Raw genomic sequence first — 22,146 nt, forward strand, 5'->3', positions numbered from 1 at the left:
TATATATGAACAAATATCTATGACATACAAACAGAAAACGAAATAAAAATATTGTCCAATTTTCATATTGTTTTGCCTCCAATGTAGTCAAGTAGTTTGAAGCACAGTATTTAAAACAATAGACGAAATATACATTTTTGCTGAACTGGTCACCTCCAAAATTTTAAATCTCTACCTTTATGTCATATATGTATGATGAGGAGGAAAAGGTAGTACCTGTTTGAGACCTATTAAGAATAAAGCCCCTATTAACAGTTTTGGTACGGGAGCTTCCTGTACAAGAGATTTTGATAACATCTGAAACTCACTAAGTTTTTGACAAAAGACATTTTCTTCATTTTACGAAGTCTGGTTATCAGTATTAGCCACCGACTCTTTCTTTCATAGATCTAACCCAAACTAATTCTCTAGCTTTTACTATTGTAAGTCCAAATCTCTTCCTTCAATATTACATTAGTGTTTTACTACAATCAAGCAGTGTGGGCACCCACGCATGCTATGGCATGGAACAAAATCAAGGCATAATAAAGTTCATAAAGGAGAAATCTTTCTAGAGGTAGCAAGCAATTACCAAAAAGCAAGCGGGCCAAGGATATGTCCTAAGCGGACACAATCGAGGAAGATATACAGAAAGTGATAGGAAGGGCTGTCCAGAGGGTTCAGAGAAGCTGGCTAAGATACAGAAAGAGAGGCATTTATTTGCATTGTATCTACTCCACAATGAGTAATGCAGCTACTACCTCAAACAAACACTGCTAGGTGATAGGATGTGAAATACAATGGAGCTTCCAGTATTGAGAGGAATAGATGAGCATAAAGGTAATTGAAATATAGTGGAATAGTGCTGTCATTGGGGAAGTACAGGGGGCTACCTGGGCACAAAGAAACAGCACATACCCCAGCCCTGTGAATGCAGGAACAGTTCCTGGAGAAGGTGAAGTATGAGCTGAAACCTAAAGGATGAAAGGACTTAGCCAGTCAAAGGGAAGTGCTGAGTGCAGTGTTCCAGAAAGAAAGGAGTGTGGACATAGGTAGCAAAGAGCAATGGGTGGGTCAAGGAACTAGAAGTTCTCTGTGACCAGACATTAAGTGCAGAATAGGAAAAGTAGCAAAAAATAAAACTGCTGAAGTGGATAGGATCATGAAGAGCCTTGTAAGCCATGATGAGAAATTGGGATTTATATTGTATGAACAATGAGGATCATTAAAGGGTTTTAAGAGAATTGATCAGACTTACATTTAGAAAGATCACTCAGGCTGTATCAAAGGAAATCAATTAGAGGGTGCAAGGCTAGAAGCAAGACAACCAATTAGTAGACTATTCCAGTAATCCAAATAATAGAGAATTTGGGCTAGTCTGACTGAGCAGGGGCAATGGAGAGAAAAATGGAGCTTTTGAGAAATTTAAGAAGATATAATTAACAAGTTGGAAACTGACCAGAAGTAGGTGACTGATTAGAGAGGGAACAAGGAAGAAATCTAAAATAATCCCATGTTTCTTATTTGAGCTGTCAGGAGGACAATGGTGTCTTTTCCTGAAACAGACCATTCTGAAATGGGCCACAGGTACAGTTCAGGATGAGTAACAGTTTATCTCCATGCTTAAAGTCTTGAAAGCCTACCACACTTCACAAACTGCTTACAGGAGAAGAGTTAAAAAAACAAATATGATTGTGTCACTCATTTGCTTAGAAGACTTCTGACGTTTTTGAAGTCCCACTGTGGTAGAGGAAAAGGTTAAGGCTGTAGAAAAAGAGTGGCCTACTGACCAAGCGGTCAAGTTTATGCAAGGTTGGATTGTATGGATCTCACACAAAACAGAGGATTCCCCCTGGAGACAATGTTATACACGGAGCCATAAAGGGAAAGCAAGGCCACTTGAGGAAAGCTAAGGTTGATCCTTAGCTTTATTTATTTAATTTATTGTTTAAGAGATTTCTTTAAGATTTCCAAAATGATAAGTTCAGCAAAAATATGTATGTTGCCTATATAGAAAAAAAATTGTTATTTTAAATATTATGCATCAAACTACGTGATTAGAGGCAACACAGATGATATGAAAATTAGAAAATAATTTCTAATCAACAAAACAAATCCAAGGGCTAGAAATAAGATTGAAATGGTTTAGGGGCTGAGAAAGAGGTCAGGAGGACTGGAAGAACACCAGAATGTCAGACAATGTAAAGGCAATGTCCAAGGAGAACAGGCTTGGAACACGGAAAAAGTGAGAAAGAGAACTCTACGGTAATTACTGTGAGTGGGTATTCCTGTCCTGGTTTTTAATGGTTTGTGGATCAGGGAGACGTACAGGCCAGGGAATAGTGATTCCAACCTATTTCCAAACTCTTTACTATGACATACACATTAGTTATCATCTAGACCCTGCCTTTTTCTCCACCTTTCTTCTTAGACAATTGGATATGTCTGAGAAGTCCCCAAAATCATGTGGTCTCTGAGAAGTCCCCAAAATCATGTGGTCTCTGTGTCTTTGCATAAGTTTCACCCAATAACTACCCAACTAACTGCATCTCTCACTCAGAACTTGGGTACCTCCTCACTCCTGCTCTAGCAGTTTGAGCCATGTTCTCTCCTAGTCCCTTGCCTTTACACATCACACCATGCTTCATTCTATATTGTCAGTGTAACTGTACTCATTCATATTCTCTCTAAGCTTTCGGAGTGCCAGGACTATGACTTCCTGCTTTTGTAGCCATCATTCCCTAGCACAGTGTATAGAAAATGCACACTTAATTAATGTTTGTTGGCTAAATGTTTACAGGTATAGACACGTGGCCCTGAAATATGTCACTAAAATCAAATAACACATGTCCCTTTTTCTTTTTCTATTAACAAAATTGGTAGTCCTAGCAATTAGATAGCTCCCCTCCCCACCAAATACATGGTATACCTAAAAATGATAATGCCATATATTTTTATAACATTTCCAGTTTACACAATACTTTTATACCCCATATCTCAAAGTGAAGAGAGCATTAGAATAGCTTTGAAGACACCAAATAACCACAAAACTATTGATCTGGATCAAAAAACTCAGAAACTCCAATTAAAAATGATAGTCTGGGCTGGGTGCACTGGCTCACACTTGTAATCCCAGCACTTTGGGAGGTAGAGGTGAGAGGATTACTTAAGGTCAGGAGTAAACCAACCTGGCCAACATGGCCAAGCACCATCTCTATTAAAAATACAAACATTAGCCAGGCATGGTAGCGTGCGCCTGTAATCCCAGCTACTCCGGTGGCTGAGGCAGGAGAATTGCCTGAGGCCGGGAGGTGGAGGTTGCAGTGAGCCGAGACCGTGCCAGTGCACTCCAGCCTGGGTGAGGGAGCAAGACTTCGTCTAAAAAAAAAAAGTCTGTCTTCATCCTATGCTGGCTGGCTCTTACTGATATTGAAGAGGAAAGCCCTAAGTATTTCCAGTGACTGTAGGTGACATCAAAGACAAACAGGGAGCTATACTCTCCCATACCCCTGCAAGGTCATAAAATTCCCAGGATGCCAGTAATTGTTTGGCTCTGGCTGAATGCATCTCCCAGTCATCTAGGACAGACCTCTCCTGGAAAAGGTCAATTCAACATAACATCCTTTATGTAAAGGGCTAAAGTATGTAGTGCTTTCTATTTCCTGGTTAGGGTCTCTTATCCTAATAGTCTCCCTAAATTTCAGGGTAATCCTTACTTAACTTTGAATAAGGGCCATGAAAAATATGTTTAACATTCTGTTGTATTACTTTAATAGGTAATGAACCAAACCTTTATAACTTGTCACATTGGTTCTTGTGGAATAAATATTTTTAATCCTCATTTTTAAACTATTATAGATTTATAGTATTTCAAAGCTATATTCTTATAGATAAAAATACAGGAATGTGAAAAATGAAGATAAGAATTCACAAAATAGTCAAAATTACAATATACAGAAGCTTTGCAACTATTCCTATTAAGAAATAAATATATATGAACTCACCTATATTTTAGCTTTACAGAATTTCCAGGTTTTCCCCATGGAAGAACTACAAAATCTTTTCTGTTCATGATTACCACCTTAATATTGTCTAAAAGTTATTCTGATTTGTAAACACTTCTGTAAAAGTAACAAAGACAAAAGAATTATGGCAGAGGTGAAGCAGTATAAGTTACAAATTCAAAACTCCATATAATTCAGGAATGTTTTTAAAACCTTATGAGCAAAAAGGCTGAATCAAAATTTAAACAGCAAAAATTATACACTGTTAGCCCTTTGTCCCCTTCAGCCACATATCAACCAGATAATCAAAAATATTAGAATAAAAAATACAAAAAAAGTACAACTATTTACATAGCATTTATACTGTATTAAGTATTATAAGTAAGCAAGAGCTGATTTAAAGTATACAGTAGGTTATGTGTAGGCTATATGCAAATACTATGCCATTTTATATAAGGAACCTGAGCATCCTAGGATTTTGGTGTTTGCAGGGTGTGAGGGAGTTACTGGAACCAGTCTCCTGTGGAAACCTAGAAATGACTGTATTTTAAGTTATGTAACTATTTATGTGCTAATAAAGTTAGAAATGTAACACGTCTGATGGAATTAAAATTTCACCAATATTTATGTACAGCTGACCCTTCAACAACATAAGGGTTAGGGGCACCAATCCCCCAAAAATCTGTGTACAACTTCTAATTTCCCCCAAATTTTACTATTAACTTATTGTTCATCAGAAGCCTTACTGATAACATAATCAATGAATATATTATGCATGTTATATGTATGTACATACTATATTCTTTTAAAAAGTAAGCTAGATAACAGAAAATGTTATTGAGAAAATCATAAAGAAGAGAAAATATATTTACTATTTATTAAGTGGAAGTGAATCATGATCAGGGGCTTCACATTGAGCAGGCTGAGGAAGACGAAGATGAAGAGGAGTTGGTCCTGTCTCAGGAGTGGCAGAGATGGAAGTGGTAGACGACATGGAAGGGAAAGCAAGAGGGACAGGCACACAAGTGTAACTATTATTTTTTAAAAAATTATTTATAAGTGGATCTGCACAGTTCAAACCTATGATGTTCAAGGGTAAACTGTATAGCAAAAGACTAGGGAAATAGTCAACTAAAAGTGAAGGATACATTCATTAAAACAAACTAAAGCACATATTCTGGCTCTTTCTATTGCTAAGGCTATAAAAGTATACCAAGTATTTGTTCTATCTAAAAATAATATCCAAGGCCGTGCAGAGAGAAACGAAAAGAATCTTTGAGATACAATCTAAACCCAATATCCTTTTTATATATATATATGGTTATATAAAATGAAAATTAAGGTATGTAATAATTACCCAAAGGCATTCTAATATCCTCATTTATCAAAGAAAATTTTAATGATACTCTTTGGCTCAGATCAGAAATTAGCATATTTTAGAAAGAATTTTTCAACAAGAAACAAAAAGGATTTTCTGCTTAACTTTGAGTTAACCAGAAAATAAAATTATTCAGAACACCCTGTTTCCCAAGTATCCCAATTATTCATGGTTCTATAATAATTTACTCTGTAATGCTGAATTACTAAATCACATGAACAACTATTAGATTTTTATAGGAATAAAAATTTCCAAGTTCTAAGAGCTTTTAAAGAAATATGAGTCAATATTATAGTGACCATAGACTTAAATGCCCACACCATTTGATGCTGTCATTTATATATGTGTTCCTATGTGTGTGCTCATAACCACAATAAACATTTATTAAGGTTCTGCTATATACAAGGCAATGTGCTGAGAGGTATGGAGAGGAGTCAAGGCCCAGGGAGGTTTGTTTTCTGAGCTCAAATGGTTTAGAGTCAAATAGGGCATATAGGACCCTAAATATAAAAGCCATAAAACAAGGTAAAAATTATAAGGGCTATAAAATTTATACATGTGATAATATAGGAAGTGAAAGAAAAGAGAGAATTCAGCTGGCTAGCATTTAAGTAAAGCTTTGAAGGAGAAAGGAGGCTTACAGATAAAGATATGGATTAGATGAACAATCCATACTGTTGGAAAGAATAGCTCTTGGATAAGGGACTAATGAATAGTTACACTTGCTTGGTGTGCAGGTTACGTGGAAGAAAAAAAATAAACATGAGTTTAGATATAGTGGCTGAGGCCCAATAATGAGTGGCTTTAAATGTCAAGTTTATAGCATTTGGAATTTATTCTGTAGCTAACAAGAGTCTAATGGGATTTAGCAGGGAAAACGTAAGTCTAGAAGCTTTGCTCTAAGACTTAAGGAAGGACAGCACCAAAACTGGAGTTACCTAATAAAAGGCTATTGTGACATCAAAGTCTACACAACCAAATAAGTGGTTCTTCATCGTTGTTCCTTTGGGAGACTATCTTATATTTCAACGATGCAACCACTGATTGAAAACATTTTTGGGACGCCTCTTTTGAAACTGTCTAGAGAATCCATTTTATGGCTGGACGCGGTGGCTGACACCTGTAATCCCAGTACCTTGGGAGGCCAAGGTGGGCAGATGACTTGAGGTCAGGAGTTCGAGACCAGCCTGACTAACATGGTGAAACCCCATCTCTACTAAAAATACAAAAATTAGCCAGGCGTGGTGGCATACACTTGTAATCCCAACTACTTGGGAGGCTGAGGCACGAGAATCGCTTGAACCCGGGAGGTCGAGATTGCAGTGGGCCAAGATCGCACCACTGCACTCCAGTCTGGGTGACAGAGTGAGACTCTGTCTCAAAAAAGAAAAAAAAAAGAATCCATTATACACCAACAAACACACAAATTCATCTTGTTGTGCCTCATTTGAAATTAAAAATGATTGTGCAATAGGAGCAACTATTTTTTTTTCACTCAAACCTACCTCCAAATTACTTGGACTATCTCCAAAAATTAAATCTAACCTGAAAGGGTAGATCTTCACCATTTTGGAGGAAATTCTCTAGGAATTTATTCTCTAAATATAATTGCAAAATGGAATTACACAAAATAATTACTACATTTTAAATAAGGTAGCGGTTGCCTTATGGGACTAGTTATGTTTGTACCTTCAATCCACAAACATGTATTTAACTGTTCCTTTGTGATCCCTATTAGTGGTCCCAGGTATTGAAGTCATGATGGCAAATAAGCCGTGGTGTCTTCCCTTGAGGCCCTCACAATCAAGGGGAAATCCACAAAAGCAACCACAATATCATGGGGCATTTTGATAGAAGAATCTACAGCAGGCGTCTCACTCAGACTCAATTTTCAACCACCAAGTCCTGTCTCTCAAAGCTAAATTAAGTGTCAACAAGAAATAAAGATACCATAGGAATGGCAAACTAAGATTTGGTTTGCTTTTTGGGAGGGAGGTGGTAGCATTTTCAAATGTAATTCTCTTTTTTCTCCCTCATTTTTGTAGGTAGTATATTTGTCCCATTTTCATCAAATAGCAGCTACCAAAGGCACCTTTCAAAAACCTCCAGGAATAATCCTGCTCCATAACATGGAATCTGTATTGCTTTCTGATCATATTCAGGGAATCCAAATACTGGCCTCTTGCCTACAATTGATAACTTTGTCACAAAAACTTCCATAATGTTATTATTATCATTAAAGAGATAAAATAATTTCCAAAGTTAATCTGTCTGATTATTAAAATAATCTAAATAATCTAAATTGCTATAATTTTGCTTACACATTGAGATATACAATATAATTTTATGTGTATGTACATATATAAAGCTAAACTGATATATGATTGATTTTACTGATACAAAAAATGAACGAACTTCTGTAAATCTCATTACAATAAGATGACTCAGATTTATAGCTCTGCTGATAATGTTATTTAACCAATAAATGGTCTTATTCAAGGGGGATTTCACTTCACTGAATGCAATTAGTAAGGCTTCTTCTCAATTACATATTTTATCTAGTCACCTACATAAGCTAATTTCCTTGTATGAAGAAAAAGGGGAGATTATAATTCTGAGTCATATTATTCTGCCTGTTTCCTTTTGTAAAGCCAACAGAGAATTTAGTCACCTTTCTGGGGATAGCAAGGATATAACAATGTCAGCAGCAAGAATAGCAAAGCACAAAATTTTAGACACCTAATAAAACCAGAGGAATACAGATAAACTCCTTACTATGCAAAACTTATACTTCCTTGTGTCTTTTGGTCATTCAGTTTTTTTTATAACTAAATACCAAAAATTTAGTAGTGATTTGGAAAAATTTCTAGTTACCTGATTTATTAGACTACATTATTTTTCTGTCTACAACCCCATTTTTCCTCACACAAAATACCCAATATAACCCAAAATTGTCCATGATGGTTTGATGATCCTTCTACACATGTTCCTATTTTGAGAAAGCAACCCACACATCAAAACCTACTGCCACAGAATGGAAACAAGGAACGTACAATGCTCTATACAGGTAGAAACTCAGAGCATTCAGCCAGAGGTGCAAGAGAACACCATTGGCAGAATGGGAGGTTTGGGAAACCACTGTTTACAAGATGGGCCACTTTTTGTAACTGAAAACTTATCTAAGTTTAGTTAATTCTTCTAATGACTCAGATCATGCTAGGCACAAGACTTAAAAACCATACCATAAATAGGGATTTTCCCTTACTGTAGCAATATTTTGAAATGGTCTAATTAGCAAACAACTTTGGGTGAATTAACATGTTTAGGCATTTAGTACCATAGTACTTAGAAATCAGAGACCCAAGAAAGAAATGTTAAATGAGAATTTAAAATAGTTGCTTTTAATAATTAAAAGAATTTTACTTTTCACATTTCTTCTATCTGTAATTATCCTTATTTTAAATATATATATTTTTTAAAATATTTAAAAAATTATAAGGCAAGAACTGATAATACATGATTTCTAGAATAGTATCTTGTGCTGGAGTGTCCTACTAAATAAATGTGTGCCACATTCTCATAGCAAAAGCTCTAAAAGTAAAGCAGGTATTGATATAGTTTGGCTGTGTCTCCACCCAAATCTCATCTTGAATTGTAATCCCCATAATTCCCACATGTGGTGGGAGGGCCCTGGTAGGAGATAATTGAATCATGGGGACAGTTTCCCCCACGCTATTTTCGTGATAGTAAGTTCTCATGAGATCTGATGGTTTTATAAGGGCTATCCCCTTTCACTTAGCTGTCATCCTTCTCTTTCCTGCCACCATGTGAAGAAGGATGTGTTTGCTTTCCTTTCTGCCATGATTATAAGTTTCCTGAGGCCTCCCCAGCCCTGCAGAACTGTGAATCAAACCTCTTTCCTTTGTAAATAACCCAGTCTTGGGTATTTCTTCATAGCAGTGTGAGAATGGACTAATATAGGTATTGACTTCAGGTTGCATTCAATCTTTCAGCCAAACAAGATATCTGATAGTAAAATACTGCTTCAAGGTGCTAAATGGTACCCAAGTTGCCCATTTTTTATGCTCTATAGGCAGGTTCTCTTGAGAACAACTGAGAAACTTTGCCTTTAGATATCAAGGGACAAGATACCATTTTAAAATACTTTTGATTAAAAATAATAAACAATATTAAAAGGCACTGAATTTAAGGTCAGAAAACCTAGGTAGACTAAATTCACTGGATTTAAAGTCATAAGATCTTTGTGTGATAGAAATCTCTGAGCTTCAGCTTATCCATGTAGAAAATGGTAAGGATCCTCTCCCCCTCTAATTTGCAGGATATTAAACAAAAGGTGTCTGATTTGTGACTTGACTTGTCAAGCTGTGGGCTTCTATAAGACCTCCAGAGAGCTCACGGTTCAGGGAAAGGGGCAGCCTTAGAAACTACCTAGAGAAGGCACAGCCTTAGAAACTACCTAGAGAAGAAAATGGAGCATCAAGATTGTGCTTTACCCTTAGCATCTCTGCTTTCATCTTTTTTACATAATGAGCTTTAGTGTTTACCTCTCTGCTCACCAAGTTTTATTCTACTCAATGCTCAATTCGAAGGCTGCCTGTATCATGAAGATTCCCTCCATCGAAACCGAGCTTCTCCTTGTATAGAAAGACCATGTTTATTAAACTCATTTGCTATTGTATGTTACCTTGTGTTATTTTTTGCATCTTTGTTTATATAGATTTTGTTTCCCTAAGTAGCCCAAATATTTGAGAGTGGTCCTACCATTGACCTTTGAAACCCCAGCAATCAATACAGTCCCTATACATAATGTAGTGCCAATAATAATGTGCTAAGTATGTAATTTTTTTTCTACTGCTTTTAGTTTTTTGCACAACCTACCCTACGGAAAAAATTAAACACGCCCTCTTTCCCACTTCAACTAAACTTTTTGTTTTCTTTTTTCCATGTTTCCTAACGATCTTGATGAGCAATCAACAAATATACATTGAACACTCTCTCCCTGCCAGGTGTCAGGTTAAGCACTGAGGATCAAGGTCAACCAGACAGGTATAATACCAGTCTTCACTGAACTTACACTCTGGTGAAGGAAGTAGGTAAAAATTAAAAAGCGAATAAAATAATTGCAAGAATTATTAAGTGTCTTGAAAGACATAAAGGAACTACTTTCAAACAATTCATTTGTAATACAATTGGTAAAATTATGACAGGTCAGGGCAGCCCTCTGTGTAGACTATAAGATAAGCTAAATTGGAGAAAGGCAGAGGGAGTCATTACATTTGCATAAGCATACAGTTTGTATAATTTTAATCCTGTGTAGTTTCAACTTTACTATATTTTTTAATGAGCCTTGTTAACTTTAGATTTTAAGTCAAGCTATAAAATATATATAACTGAACCTTACATACCTGAGTCCCTCTACTGCTGATTTTGGGAAGAAAAAATAAACTTCCACATCTTCAGATTTCTCAGGAATCGGGCACCCCGCACCATAGCCCTTACTTGTGAGGAGTAGACTTCAAGAAGTAAGTGGGTGCATGTGAACGCGCAGGCAGACTAAAGGCTACAAAAGGGGATGAAATATGGTTTCTCAGGGTGCCAAATTTTTCATAAGGTGCAAATGACTTCAAAGGATAAAAGGGGCTAGTATTTGAAAGGGTCGGGCTGCAGAAGGGGTACAACTGATGAAGTCCCCAATTTCACTGTCTGGGGTTCACTCTTGATTCATTTATCCATTAGCATTTTGGGCTGGGAAGTCTTTGGTGTATACCAAAGGCTTTCAACTCCTGAGGCCAGGGCCCCGTCCTGCTGCCTGCAGGCCTGGCACTATGTCAGCCTATGGCAGGGGCTCAGCAAACACTTGCTGGGCCGGTGCCTCCAGCTCCACCCGAGCTGAGTCTGCTTCCCAGCCGCGCTGCCCGCTCTGCTCCCCGCACCAACTAGCCCGGGCTTGCTGCCCGCTAGGCGGACTCAGAGACCATCCTCCCCTCTCATCCACCCGCAGACAGACAACCCACCTGGAGACCCCAGCCTCTCGCGTCACCACCGCCGGATGGCCGCGGATAGCTGCCGGGAGTTTCCGTCTTGGTCTCCTTGGTTACCGCGTTACCTCGGTACCCATAGCAACCAGAAAGCTGGGTTCTGCCACTGTCCGCCGGCAGAGGGCGAAAAGGAGCCTGCGAAATGAGAGAGAATGGTGATCACAGGAAGGAAAAGGGCGGAAAAACTCAACAGGCTCTGGAAGCTTTCCGCCAGAGAGGATCTTGGAGATTATGTATGTGCTAAACCTGAGCATGTGTCATATTCCAAGCACAAGTGAGAGACTTATATGTCATATTTGATTCTTCCTCATAGCAAGCCAGCTTAAATCTAAAAAAATTAAGGCACAAAAAATTTGACTATCTTAATCCAAAATTACAAAGCTAGCAAATGGCAGACCTACAAATTAATTCAAGGAGTTTAGTCTCAGAACTCCCACATTTATGCTATGTTTAAATGATTTATCAATGGCTACCATAGGCAAAGTCAATAGAGATTCCAGGTCTCTTCAAAAGTCCAGAACTCTCTTTTCTTTGTACCGAATACATGACCCGTGGAGTCTAATGGGTATAAAACAAAAAGCAAAAGCAAATATATGCACACACACACACACACACACACACACACACACACACACAGTTAACCCACAATTCTCAACTCAACTCTTCCGAACAAAGCTGCACCTGTAGTGAATTTATCTTTGGCTTCCTAAATATGCTGTTTTTTATCTCCCTTTTTAAATACTGCAAGTAGGATGTGTGGTTGGTACTGCACTGTATAGGCTTCTATGCTTAACCACATTGCATCTGTCTCGGTACCAGACTAACAATCCTAACTATTACAGTTAATGTACTAATCTTTACACCATTACTTTTGACATTACTATGCCTGCCAATACCCATTTAAAAAAAAATAATGATTTCACTTGGCATATTCAATTATATAAGATTACAACCACTATGGATAAGAGAAGACAATGGTAGTCTTCTGGTTATAAGTCTGGATTTTGGAGTCAGGCAGATTCAAGATTGAGTGCCAGTACTGCCACAACTTACCTGCTGTGTGACCATGAGCAAGTAACAATGCTCAGTCTAACTGCTTAAATGAGATAACAGTACAGTTAGTCCATACGTAATGTAGTATGGAAGAGTAAATGAAACAATAAATATTAAGTATTTAGCTCTAAGCCAGGCCCATATTGAGTGCTTAATAAACAGTAAGAAACAGTGGTGCTGGTGTGGCTATGATGGTTGCTATTAACGTGTTCATGGTATAACTTTACCACGTCCTTCCTTTAACTTTAATACAAGAACTAGTTTCAGGTGGATGTGCGATACTACTGGTTTTCTTGCACAGACTATTTCCCATACAGGCGCGCTCTTCAAATTACCAAAGATATTTTCAGCTTTCGTCCATTTACTGATCTATTCATTTATTTATTTATTCCACAAATATTTATTGAAAGTCCATTTCCTAGATCCCAAAAATACTGGAGTGAAGAAATCGTCAAAGCCCCTCCTATTTTCAAATATATTTTAACAGGAGCAGAAAGGCAATAAACAAGTATAAATGCATGTCAGCTGCTATGAAGAAAACTAAAGCCAAATAAAGAAATAGAAACTAATTGAGTTCTGTTTTAGGGTAGATGGCCAGGGAAGTATCTGAATGCAAGGAAAGAGAAAGACATGGGCCACTAGAGGAAGAAACAGTCCAGAGAGAACAGTAAACACATGTCAATTATGTCCCAGTAAAGATTATTTTGCAAATAACTTCTCCTCACTTCTACAAAGGACTTTTACTCCAAAAAATGATTCTTACAATGCATTTACTTACACAATAGTAAAATTAAACTCATAAAAATAATGTATAAAGTATTCTTGCACTTTTTGAAAGCATTAAAAGAACATTATCTTATATTTAGAAAAATAGCTTATGCACAGTTATGAAAAGGCAAAGCAGAGACAAAAACTAAGCCTATGCTAAGTCACATAGTAAAATAAAAAGTATGAAGTGCTTGTCTTTCAGAATGATGATTAGTGACAAAATGAAATGAAACATGTCAAAACAATTACAGCTCTAGAGAGATGATATTCTCTCCACTGAAGTAAAATGCGTTTAACTGGCACACCAGCAATGCCGCACACAGTTTACCACAACTATATCAAGAGCACAGTATTCCTGAGGGTTTTTCCAAACTCATGCTTCTTTGTGCCACAGTGGAGACAAGGTTTGAATACAAGTTTTCTGAACTGGAGATATTCAATTTAAAGAGATAAAAATTACCGGCAATGCAGAAATTAAGAGCACAGATTTACATGACTCATTTTACTAAGCTTGAAATAAGGGTCAGGGACTGTAAACAAGCATTATCCAAAACTTAGAAATAAGGTAAAGCCAAAAACAGCATGTCTTTTCAATGCCATACTAGAATACTGTTTAAGATAATCTGAGCATTACATGATTTTCTAAAAAAAAGTGTTGCTTTTCTTATCATTAACTATTGATAAAGTCTCTGTGTAATGTTGTATGTTTATTTGAAGATTTTTTCACCTGCATTTTTCATATCATTTGTATCTGGATATGTAAATAATGTCTTTCCTTTAAATAAAATAATTTCAAAGCTAATGGTTTTATTGCACTATACAACTTTAACCAGTTTTGTATCTAACCTAGAAATCTCATACTAATATTTTATCTCAATTCCTATATACAGTCAGCTACCAAATTTTCTTTGAACCAGCTTTACCATTCTAATAATTCCGTCCTTAATGAATTAAACTGTATCACATGTATATTCTCTACTTAAAGAATATCTTGTTTTTAAGTATTGCAATTATATTTTGATAATACCAAACCTTTGGAAGAAAATGGGACAAATATCATATCTGCAGCTTTCCAGAAGTATTCTCTCAATTTCCATTTGCTCTTTGGCCCTTCAGATTCTTTTATAGGCAAAAGTTTGTGGGCATTTCAAGGTAGCAAAACCAAATTCCTACCATCTCCTTTTTTACAAGCCCTGAAATGTGGTTTTACTTTTACATGAAGCATCTACTTTCTTTATGCCTTGGTAAATGCTAAATATAACATCCTATTACATATGTATGGGGTTTTTCAACTTGTCAAGAAAACTGAGCTTTAGAGACAACATAAAATTACAAAAAATCCTTAGCAAAAACCAAATTAGTATGATATAAATATATTTAAATGCATCCGAATGGCTAAACTTGAGGAAGAATAAAAAGAAACTTAGAGTTAAGAGGTGACATTGGCCTTTTATAATTTTTCTCGGCTTTGTAATTTCTGCCTATCATCCATGACACAGAATTTCTAAGCAAATAAATTTTCATAACACAAGGCAATTATTACTGATGCTTCACAAATGGAGGAGAATCATCAGGGCCTATGATAAATTTTCGATTCCTGCAATGTGCAGTGTCTTCCAAATTGAAAAATAAATGTATAGCCTTGTTGAATGAGCATAGTTAAATTTAATCAACATTTATTCAACACCTGTTCTATTCCAGGCACGGCCCTAAGATAGGTACAAAGGTGAACAAAGACACCGTCTCTGTCCTTGAGTAATTCAAGTGAGAGTTTGCAACTAATTAATATGTAATGTATTAAGTACTACGTTCAAAAAGAATGGGAGCATTACATGTTTGTGGCATGGGCAGAATTTCTAGTTGGTTCAAACATAGTATATGTGGCAAAAAGATAAGAATGAAAAGTTGTGCTAGGAGCACATTAAAAAGCACTTTGAATGTTACCCTATTCACAATGGAAACTGTGAAATTTTCTTTTCTTCTCTCCTCTTAATACCCTCAAATAATTTTTAAAGCAGATCTTTAAGCATCTCAGTATGTGTATAGCCGCATCTTTCAAGGGTAATTCTGGTGGCAATGTAAAAATAGAGCAAGTGGAAAAGAGGAGGACAAGAGACACTTTTAAAATATGGTTATATTAGTCCAAGATAGAAATAATAAGTCTTGAATAAATCAAGGCAGAGGGCAGAGGCCAAGTGAAACAGTTTCAAAGGATTTTGTAAACTCTCAATAGGGCTTGGAAAGTACAGATACATGGTTAGCTAGGAATATGGAACAGAGCTGCTTGTCTCTACATTTGATAGCTTGGTAAATAAGTAGATGGTACTGATAACCAGCCGTGGAAGAGCAAGAGAATAAATAAGCTCACAGAGAGTGGGGTCAAGAAGGCAGGGCAGACTGAGTTTTTACTTTTGCAATAGCAGTAGGGAGGAATACAAAAATATGACATAGCTCTAGTTACTTAGGAGACAACCATATATATTAGGTTACCATCAGCATGTAATCAGATAGTAACCAGAGCTGAAGGAAAAGTTTAAATTGTCCAAGGATTTCTCGGAGAAACTACAGAAGACATAGTATTGAGAGAGGCATTCATTCAGCATTCCTAAAATAGACCAATATAAAACCCATATGTGACCTTCTTTATCCAGCAGTGTTTTTACTGCAGGGTCTCTGCAAATGAGGTTGGCAACCTGAATGAATTTATTCCTGTAATCATCTATTCTTCTCAGTGTTCTCATGCATTTACTGCAGACAAGCATGCACTACATCAGCTGGTAAAAAAGAAGAACTAGCACTGGTCATTGAAGCTTGCATTGCCAATATCAACATTCCTAATACAAAACTTTTTAAATTGTTGGTGTATATATGGGTCCAGAGAAGGTGAAGACACAATTCACATGATGGAGTCTTTAGAAAGTCAGTTTCAAAAAACAGAACACTTTATTTGAACATAAATAACATTATTTTCACTATAACCTCAATTTAATACAATCATGTGTCTCTTAATGATGAGGATATGTTCTAAGAAATATGTGATTAGGTTATTTTGTCATTGTACAAACATCAAAGAGTGAACTGACACAAACCTAGATGTTATACACCTAGGCTATTTGGTATAGCCTATTGCTTCTAGACTATAAGCCCTTATAGCATGCTACTGTACTGAATACTATACACAACTCTAACACAATGGTCAGTATTTGTGTATCTAAGCATATGTAAACACAGAAAAAGGACTGCCAAAATGCAGTATAAAAGACAAAAAAAATGGAATACCTATATAGGGCACTTACCGTAATTAGAGTTGGCAGAACTGGAAGTTGCTTTGGATGAGTGAGTAGGTACTATAGACTTTATAAACACTATAAACTTAGGCTACCCTAAATTTTTTTTAAAAATTTCATTCTTTTAATATAAATTAGCCTTACCTTCCTGTAACTTTACTTTATAAACTTATAATTTTTTTAAACTTTTTGACCCTTTTGTAATGACAACTCAAAACAAACACATCGTACAGATGTACACAAAATTTTTTTTCCTTATATACTTATCTATAAGCCTTTTTCTATTTATTCCTTCTAATTTTAAAACTGTTTTTGTTAAAAACTAAGACACAAACACATGTATTACCCAAGCCCTACACAGAGTCAGGATCATCAAGACATCCCCAGGCGATAAGTAATTTTTCAGCTCCATTATAATCATATGGGGCCACCATTGTATATGTCATCCCGTCACTGACTGAAACTTACATGGTGCATAACTGTATAAGGTTAGTGTTTCTTAGTTCCACCCAAGGATTGATAAGCAGATATGGTGGACAACAATAATCTGCCACTCTTCCTCCTGCCTTTGCCTGCCAACAATCTGTCAGTCTTGGCAGCCATGTTTCATTATGTGACCCAACCTACCCTTGTAATGGTTTATTGAACAGGAGTCCAAACTGAACCAGTCAGATACTCTCCTGTGAGAATAAGAGATTGAGATTGAGAGAGAAAATCATGGGGCAAAAATATTCTGTCATTTGGACAGAAGAAAGAAAGAAAGGATAAAAGGTAAAAAAAGAAAAAATAAAGGATGGAAGTAGAGGCAGGGAGAGAAGGAAGCAAAGATGAGAGACAGATTTCAGATTTTCTGGAAATTTTCCCCTTCCTGAAGACTAGCTACATCCAAAAATGATACACTCCTGCATCTTTAAAATAAAATTCCCTTATTAATTACTTAAACTAGGATGGATTGTTTTGGTTGTGCAGAACAGAGAACCCTGACTTAAATGACTACCAGAAGAATCATAAAGTAAAACCAAAGTAACTTTCTTTATAAGGAAACTCCAAAGTATAGATTCCCAGAGAATTCTTTTAAACAGCAGTAGAGCGTTGATCTGTAACTCTCATAATTGCAAATTAATATTCTTGCATAGGCATATATAAGTGAGTTGTTCTAGCATGCTTTTGAAGTCATCTCCTCAAAAAAAAGCTAAAATCTCTTGTTTATTTTTTAATCACTTAAGTTTCTTAGTTTATTTGCTTTAAGTTTAGCTGTGCCAGTTTTGCCAGCAAACAATTATTTATAATTGATATAGCTTTAGGGAAAAGCTCATCTTAAAAAGAAAAAAGCTGGCATTTCAGAGAAAAAGTCATTTATTTCTGGTCCTTGCCAAGTTTCAATAAGTGTATCATACTGTCTTCTTGAGATTTATGCACTGTTTGCTGTACTTCATTTGGAAAATTTGCATTTTTCTCTTATGCACTCAAGCTAGGAGGCACAAAACAAGAGTTACAAGGTTTGTTTGACATGAGATGTCTAACAGTAATTTTCTTTCATCAACTTTATTCTCTTACAGTTCCAATCCCCAAGGGCAGATTTTTCATTAGATTTTGTAAAATATTTTATAATAACTGCCTTACCTTTGGGAAAGTTACTGCCACAATATTTCAAAAGATTTGTCACAACTTTGTCCATAAGAAAGGTATCATTCTTATGCCCATTGTGAGTTAATATTACCCATGTACCCATTTTCACATTAATTCAGAAAATTACAATGCACCTAACATGGCTAGCTTTGGTGAAGGTAATGCTCATTCAGATATTCACCAAACACTTATTGAGGACCTACTATGCTTTAGGCATTCTTACAGATAATGGGCATAACTATGAACAGAAAGATTTGTATTCTGTACTTGTGAAAAATATAGGCTAGATGAGGGACACAGACAAGAATTCAGAATAATAACTGCTAAAACTGTGAGAATATTATCAGAAAAAGGATACTTGCTCAATAGTTGGGGCTCAACAAAGACTTCTTAGCATAATCTATAATGATGTTCAATGTAGCATAATGATTTTCAGTCACAATGATGTTCAATGTTGGCCTAGTCTGTTGCGTAGGAACATCATACTGGTATGGAGCGTGGGTGAAATTACTGTTCTGGATAGAAAAAAGAAAGCATATACAAATTTCCCTGCAGTGAGTTAGAATATAAGCATAGAGAATCTAAAAATTTCTAGCATTACTGAAACATACAAGGGACTCAAGAGACGTGGAGAAAGAGAGAAGAGGTGGAAGGAAGTCATACAATTCCGTGAAGGGAAGATTCATTAAGAGGTCATCGCTGTTGTATAGGAGATACTAATGGACTAGGCCAAAGCAGAGGAAGCAAAGCTGAAGGGAAGTGAAAGGAGCTATTAGTTATCAAAATCTTATCAATGGACTTGGAATTAACTAGATGAGAGGCTGAGGAGTGAAGGATGACCCACGTGTATTTATGGATGACCCTGAAGATACAATTTAAAATGATTCAAACTACGCTGAATTAAGGAACATTCATTTATTAATTCAAACATGCCATTGGATACCTACCGTATGCCAGGTATTGTTTTGGAAGCTGGCACCTTGAACACAAGTAACAACCTATTTGTTTTCATTAAGTTTCTATTGTATGGGATAGAAAAATATACACCGGTTTTAGTTTATTTCATCAAGAGAATAAAACAGATCAACAGACACCTTTCTAGGATGAGATCCTATTTTAGGTGGAATAGTCACAGAAAACCTCTCTGAGCAACATTTGCAAAGAGCCACGTTAAATGAGGAGCAAGCCATGCAAAAGTCTGGAATGTTTCTAGAAGAGGAACATCAATATCCTAGGGTGGAACAAATGAGAGTGTGGTTTAAATGTGGTGAAAATGTTAGGAGATAAGACTATATGGAGGGATAGGCAGTAAGATAGGAGATGAAGGCCAAAATAAGGGGTTTGCATCCCATGCCAACTAATATAGGGAGTTACGAACAGGCTTTAAACAGAGGAGTGACAACTGATTTATATTTTTATAAGATAACATTGGCAACCAGAGGACATTGGCTATAGAGAGTTAAAGACAGGGAGATCAGTGAGAATATTAATGCAATCTTCCAGAAAAGACAATCACTAAGTTATGGTATTAAGGACTCAATCACTGCATTAGAATGCAGGATGGCTACTATGACACGATCCGACATAGCAATAGATTAAACAAAATAAACGTTGACCTCTCTCTCACTTAGCATGTAAGTGAACACAATCCAGAATTTAGTTGTGTCCAGAGGGTAAAAGGTACCTAGGCTCCTTCCATTGTGCTGTTCTGCCTTTCTCAACATGTCACTTTGTATTTACTGGTCTAAGATAAATGACCCAGCTCCTGCCATCAAGCTAGCGTTCAAGCCAATGAGACTCAAAGAAGAAAGACAGAAAATGAAAGCACACCCTTGTTTGTTTATTTAATAATTAATATGTGAAGATCATGTCTTAAATTTGCATTTCTTTTATAATAAGCTTCAACATTTTCTAATGACAGTTTGTATTTCTATTTTTGAGAATTACCTCTTTTCTTTTCTTTTTTATTTTGCTTTATGTTCTGGAATACATGTGCAGAACATGCAGGTTTGTTACATAGGTATACATGTACCATGGTAGTTTGCTGCACCTTTCAACCCACCATCTAGGTTTTAAGCCCCACATGCCTTAGGTATTGGTCCTAATGTTCTCCCTCCCCTTGCCCCCGACCACCTGACAGGCCTCAGTGTGTGATGTTTCCCTCCCTGTGCCCATGTGTTCTCACTGTTCAACTCCCACTTATGAGTGAGAACATGCAGTGTTTGGTTTTCTGTTCCTATGTTACTTTGCTGAAAATGATGGTTTCCAGCTTCATCCATGTTCCTGCAAAGGACATGAACTCATTCTTTTTTATGGCTGCATAGTACTCCATGGTGTATATGTGCCACATTTTGTTTATCCAGTCTATCACTGATGGGCATTTGGGTTGGTTCCAAATCTTTGCTATTGTAAATAGTGCTGCAATAAGCATATGTGTACATGTGTCTTTATAGTAGAATGATTTATAATCCTTTGGGTATATACTCAGTAATGGGATTGCTGGGTCAAACGGTATTTCTGATTCTAGATCCTTGAGGAGCTGCCACACTGTCTTCCACATTGGTTGAACTAATTTACACTCCCACAAACAGTGTAAAAGTGTTCCTATGTCTCCAAAGCCTTGCCAGAATCTGTCATTTCCTGACTTTTTAATAATTGCCATTCTAACTGGTGAGAGATGGTATCTCATTGTGGTTTTGATTTGCATTTCTCTAATGACTAGTGATGATGAGCTTATTTTCATGTTTTTGGCCACACAAATATCTTCTGTTGAGAAGTGTCTGTTCATATCCTTCACCCACTTTTTGATGTTTTTTTTTCTTGTAAATTTAAGTTCCTTGTAGATTCTGGATATTAGACCTTTGTTAGATGGATAGATTCCAAAAATTTTCTCACATTCTGTAGGTTGCCTGTTCACTCTGACTATAGTTTCTTTTGCTGTGCAGAAGCTGTTTAGTTTAATTAAATCCCATTAGTCAATTTTGGCTTTTGTTGCTATTCCTTTTTGTGTTTTAGTCATGAAGTCTTTGCCCATGCCTATGTCGTGAATGGTACTGCCTAGGTTTCTTCTAGGGTTTTTATGGTTTTGGATCTTATGTTTAAGTCTTTAATCCATCTTGAGTTAATTTTTATATAAGGTGTAAGGAAAGGGTCCAGTTTCAGTTTCCTGCATATGGCTAGCCAGTTTTCCTAGCACCATTTATTAAATAGGGAATTATTTCCCCATTGCTTGTTCTTGTCAGGTTTGTCAAAGATCTGATGGTTGTAGATATGTGGCATTATTTCTGAGGCCTCTTTTCTGTTCCATTGGTCTATATATCTGTTTTGGTACCAGTGCCATGCTGTTTTGGTTACCATAGCCTTTGTAGTATACCATAGACTTGTAGTATAGTTTGAAGTCAGGTAGTGTGATGTCTCCAGCTTTCTTCTTTTTGCTTAGGATTATCTTGGCTATACGGGCTCTTTTTTGGTTCCATATGAAATTTAAAGTAGTTGTTTTTTTTTTTCTAATTCTTTGAAGAAAGCCAATGGTAGCTTGATGGGAATAACATTGAATCTATAAATTAATTTGGGCAGTATGGCCATTTTCATGATATTGATTCTTCCTATCCATGAGCATGGAATATTTTTCCATTTGTTGTGTCCTCTCTTATTTCCTTGAGCAGTGGTTTGTAGTTTTCATTGAAGAGGTCCTTCACATCCCCTGTAAGTCGTATTCCTAGGTATTTTATTTTCTTTGTAGCAGTTGTGAATGGGAGTTCACTCATGATTTGGCTCTCTGTCTGTTATTGGTTTATAGAATGCTTGTGATTTTTGCACATTGATTTTGCATCCTGAGACTTTGCTGAAGTTGCTTATCAGCTTAAGCAGTTTTGGGGCTGAGACTATGGGGTTTTCTAAATGTACAATTATGTCATCTGCAAATGAAGATAATTTGACTTCCTCTCTTCCTATTTGAATACGTTTATTTCTTTCTCTTGCCTGATTTC

The 22,146-nt window shown here is 36.4% G+C and overlaps 1 protein-coding gene across 20 annotated transcripts in view; it reads right to left on the reverse strand.

Annotated features, from left to right (window-relative positions):
* ZBBX (zinc finger B-box domain containing) overlaps positions 1 to 22,146 on the reverse strand; it is a 229,485-nt gene that overhangs the window by 190,449 nt on the left and 16,890 nt on the right. For 12 of the 20 annotated variants that reach the window (XR_924174.3, XR_924173.2, XR_924177.3 and 9 more), the window contains 4 exons: positions 11,397 to 11,555; positions 10,788 to 10,942; positions 4,856 to 4,937; positions 3,984 to 4,100 (listed from right to left, as the gene is read on the reverse strand). Coding sequence is in view for 15 of the 20 variants with exons in the window: in XM_024453753.2 (XP_024309521.1) it covers positions 3,984 to 4,051 (68 nt within the window). In the remaining 5 variants the exon portion in view is untranslated. Of the gene's footprint in view, positions 1 to 3,983; positions 4,101 to 4,855; positions 4,938 to 10,787; positions 10,943 to 11,396; positions 11,556 to 22,146 lie in introns of those variants that run through there. The other 8 variants (NM_024687.4, NM_001199201.2, XM_017007189.3 and 5 more) reach the window with 5 other exon arrangements.

The sequence above is a fragment of the Homo sapiens genome, chromosome 3 (assembly GCF_000001405.40).
Source record: "Homo sapiens chromosome 3, GRCh38.p14 Primary Assembly".
Lineage (NCBI taxonomy): Eukaryota > Metazoa > Chordata > Mammalia > Primates > Hominidae > Homo > Homo sapiens.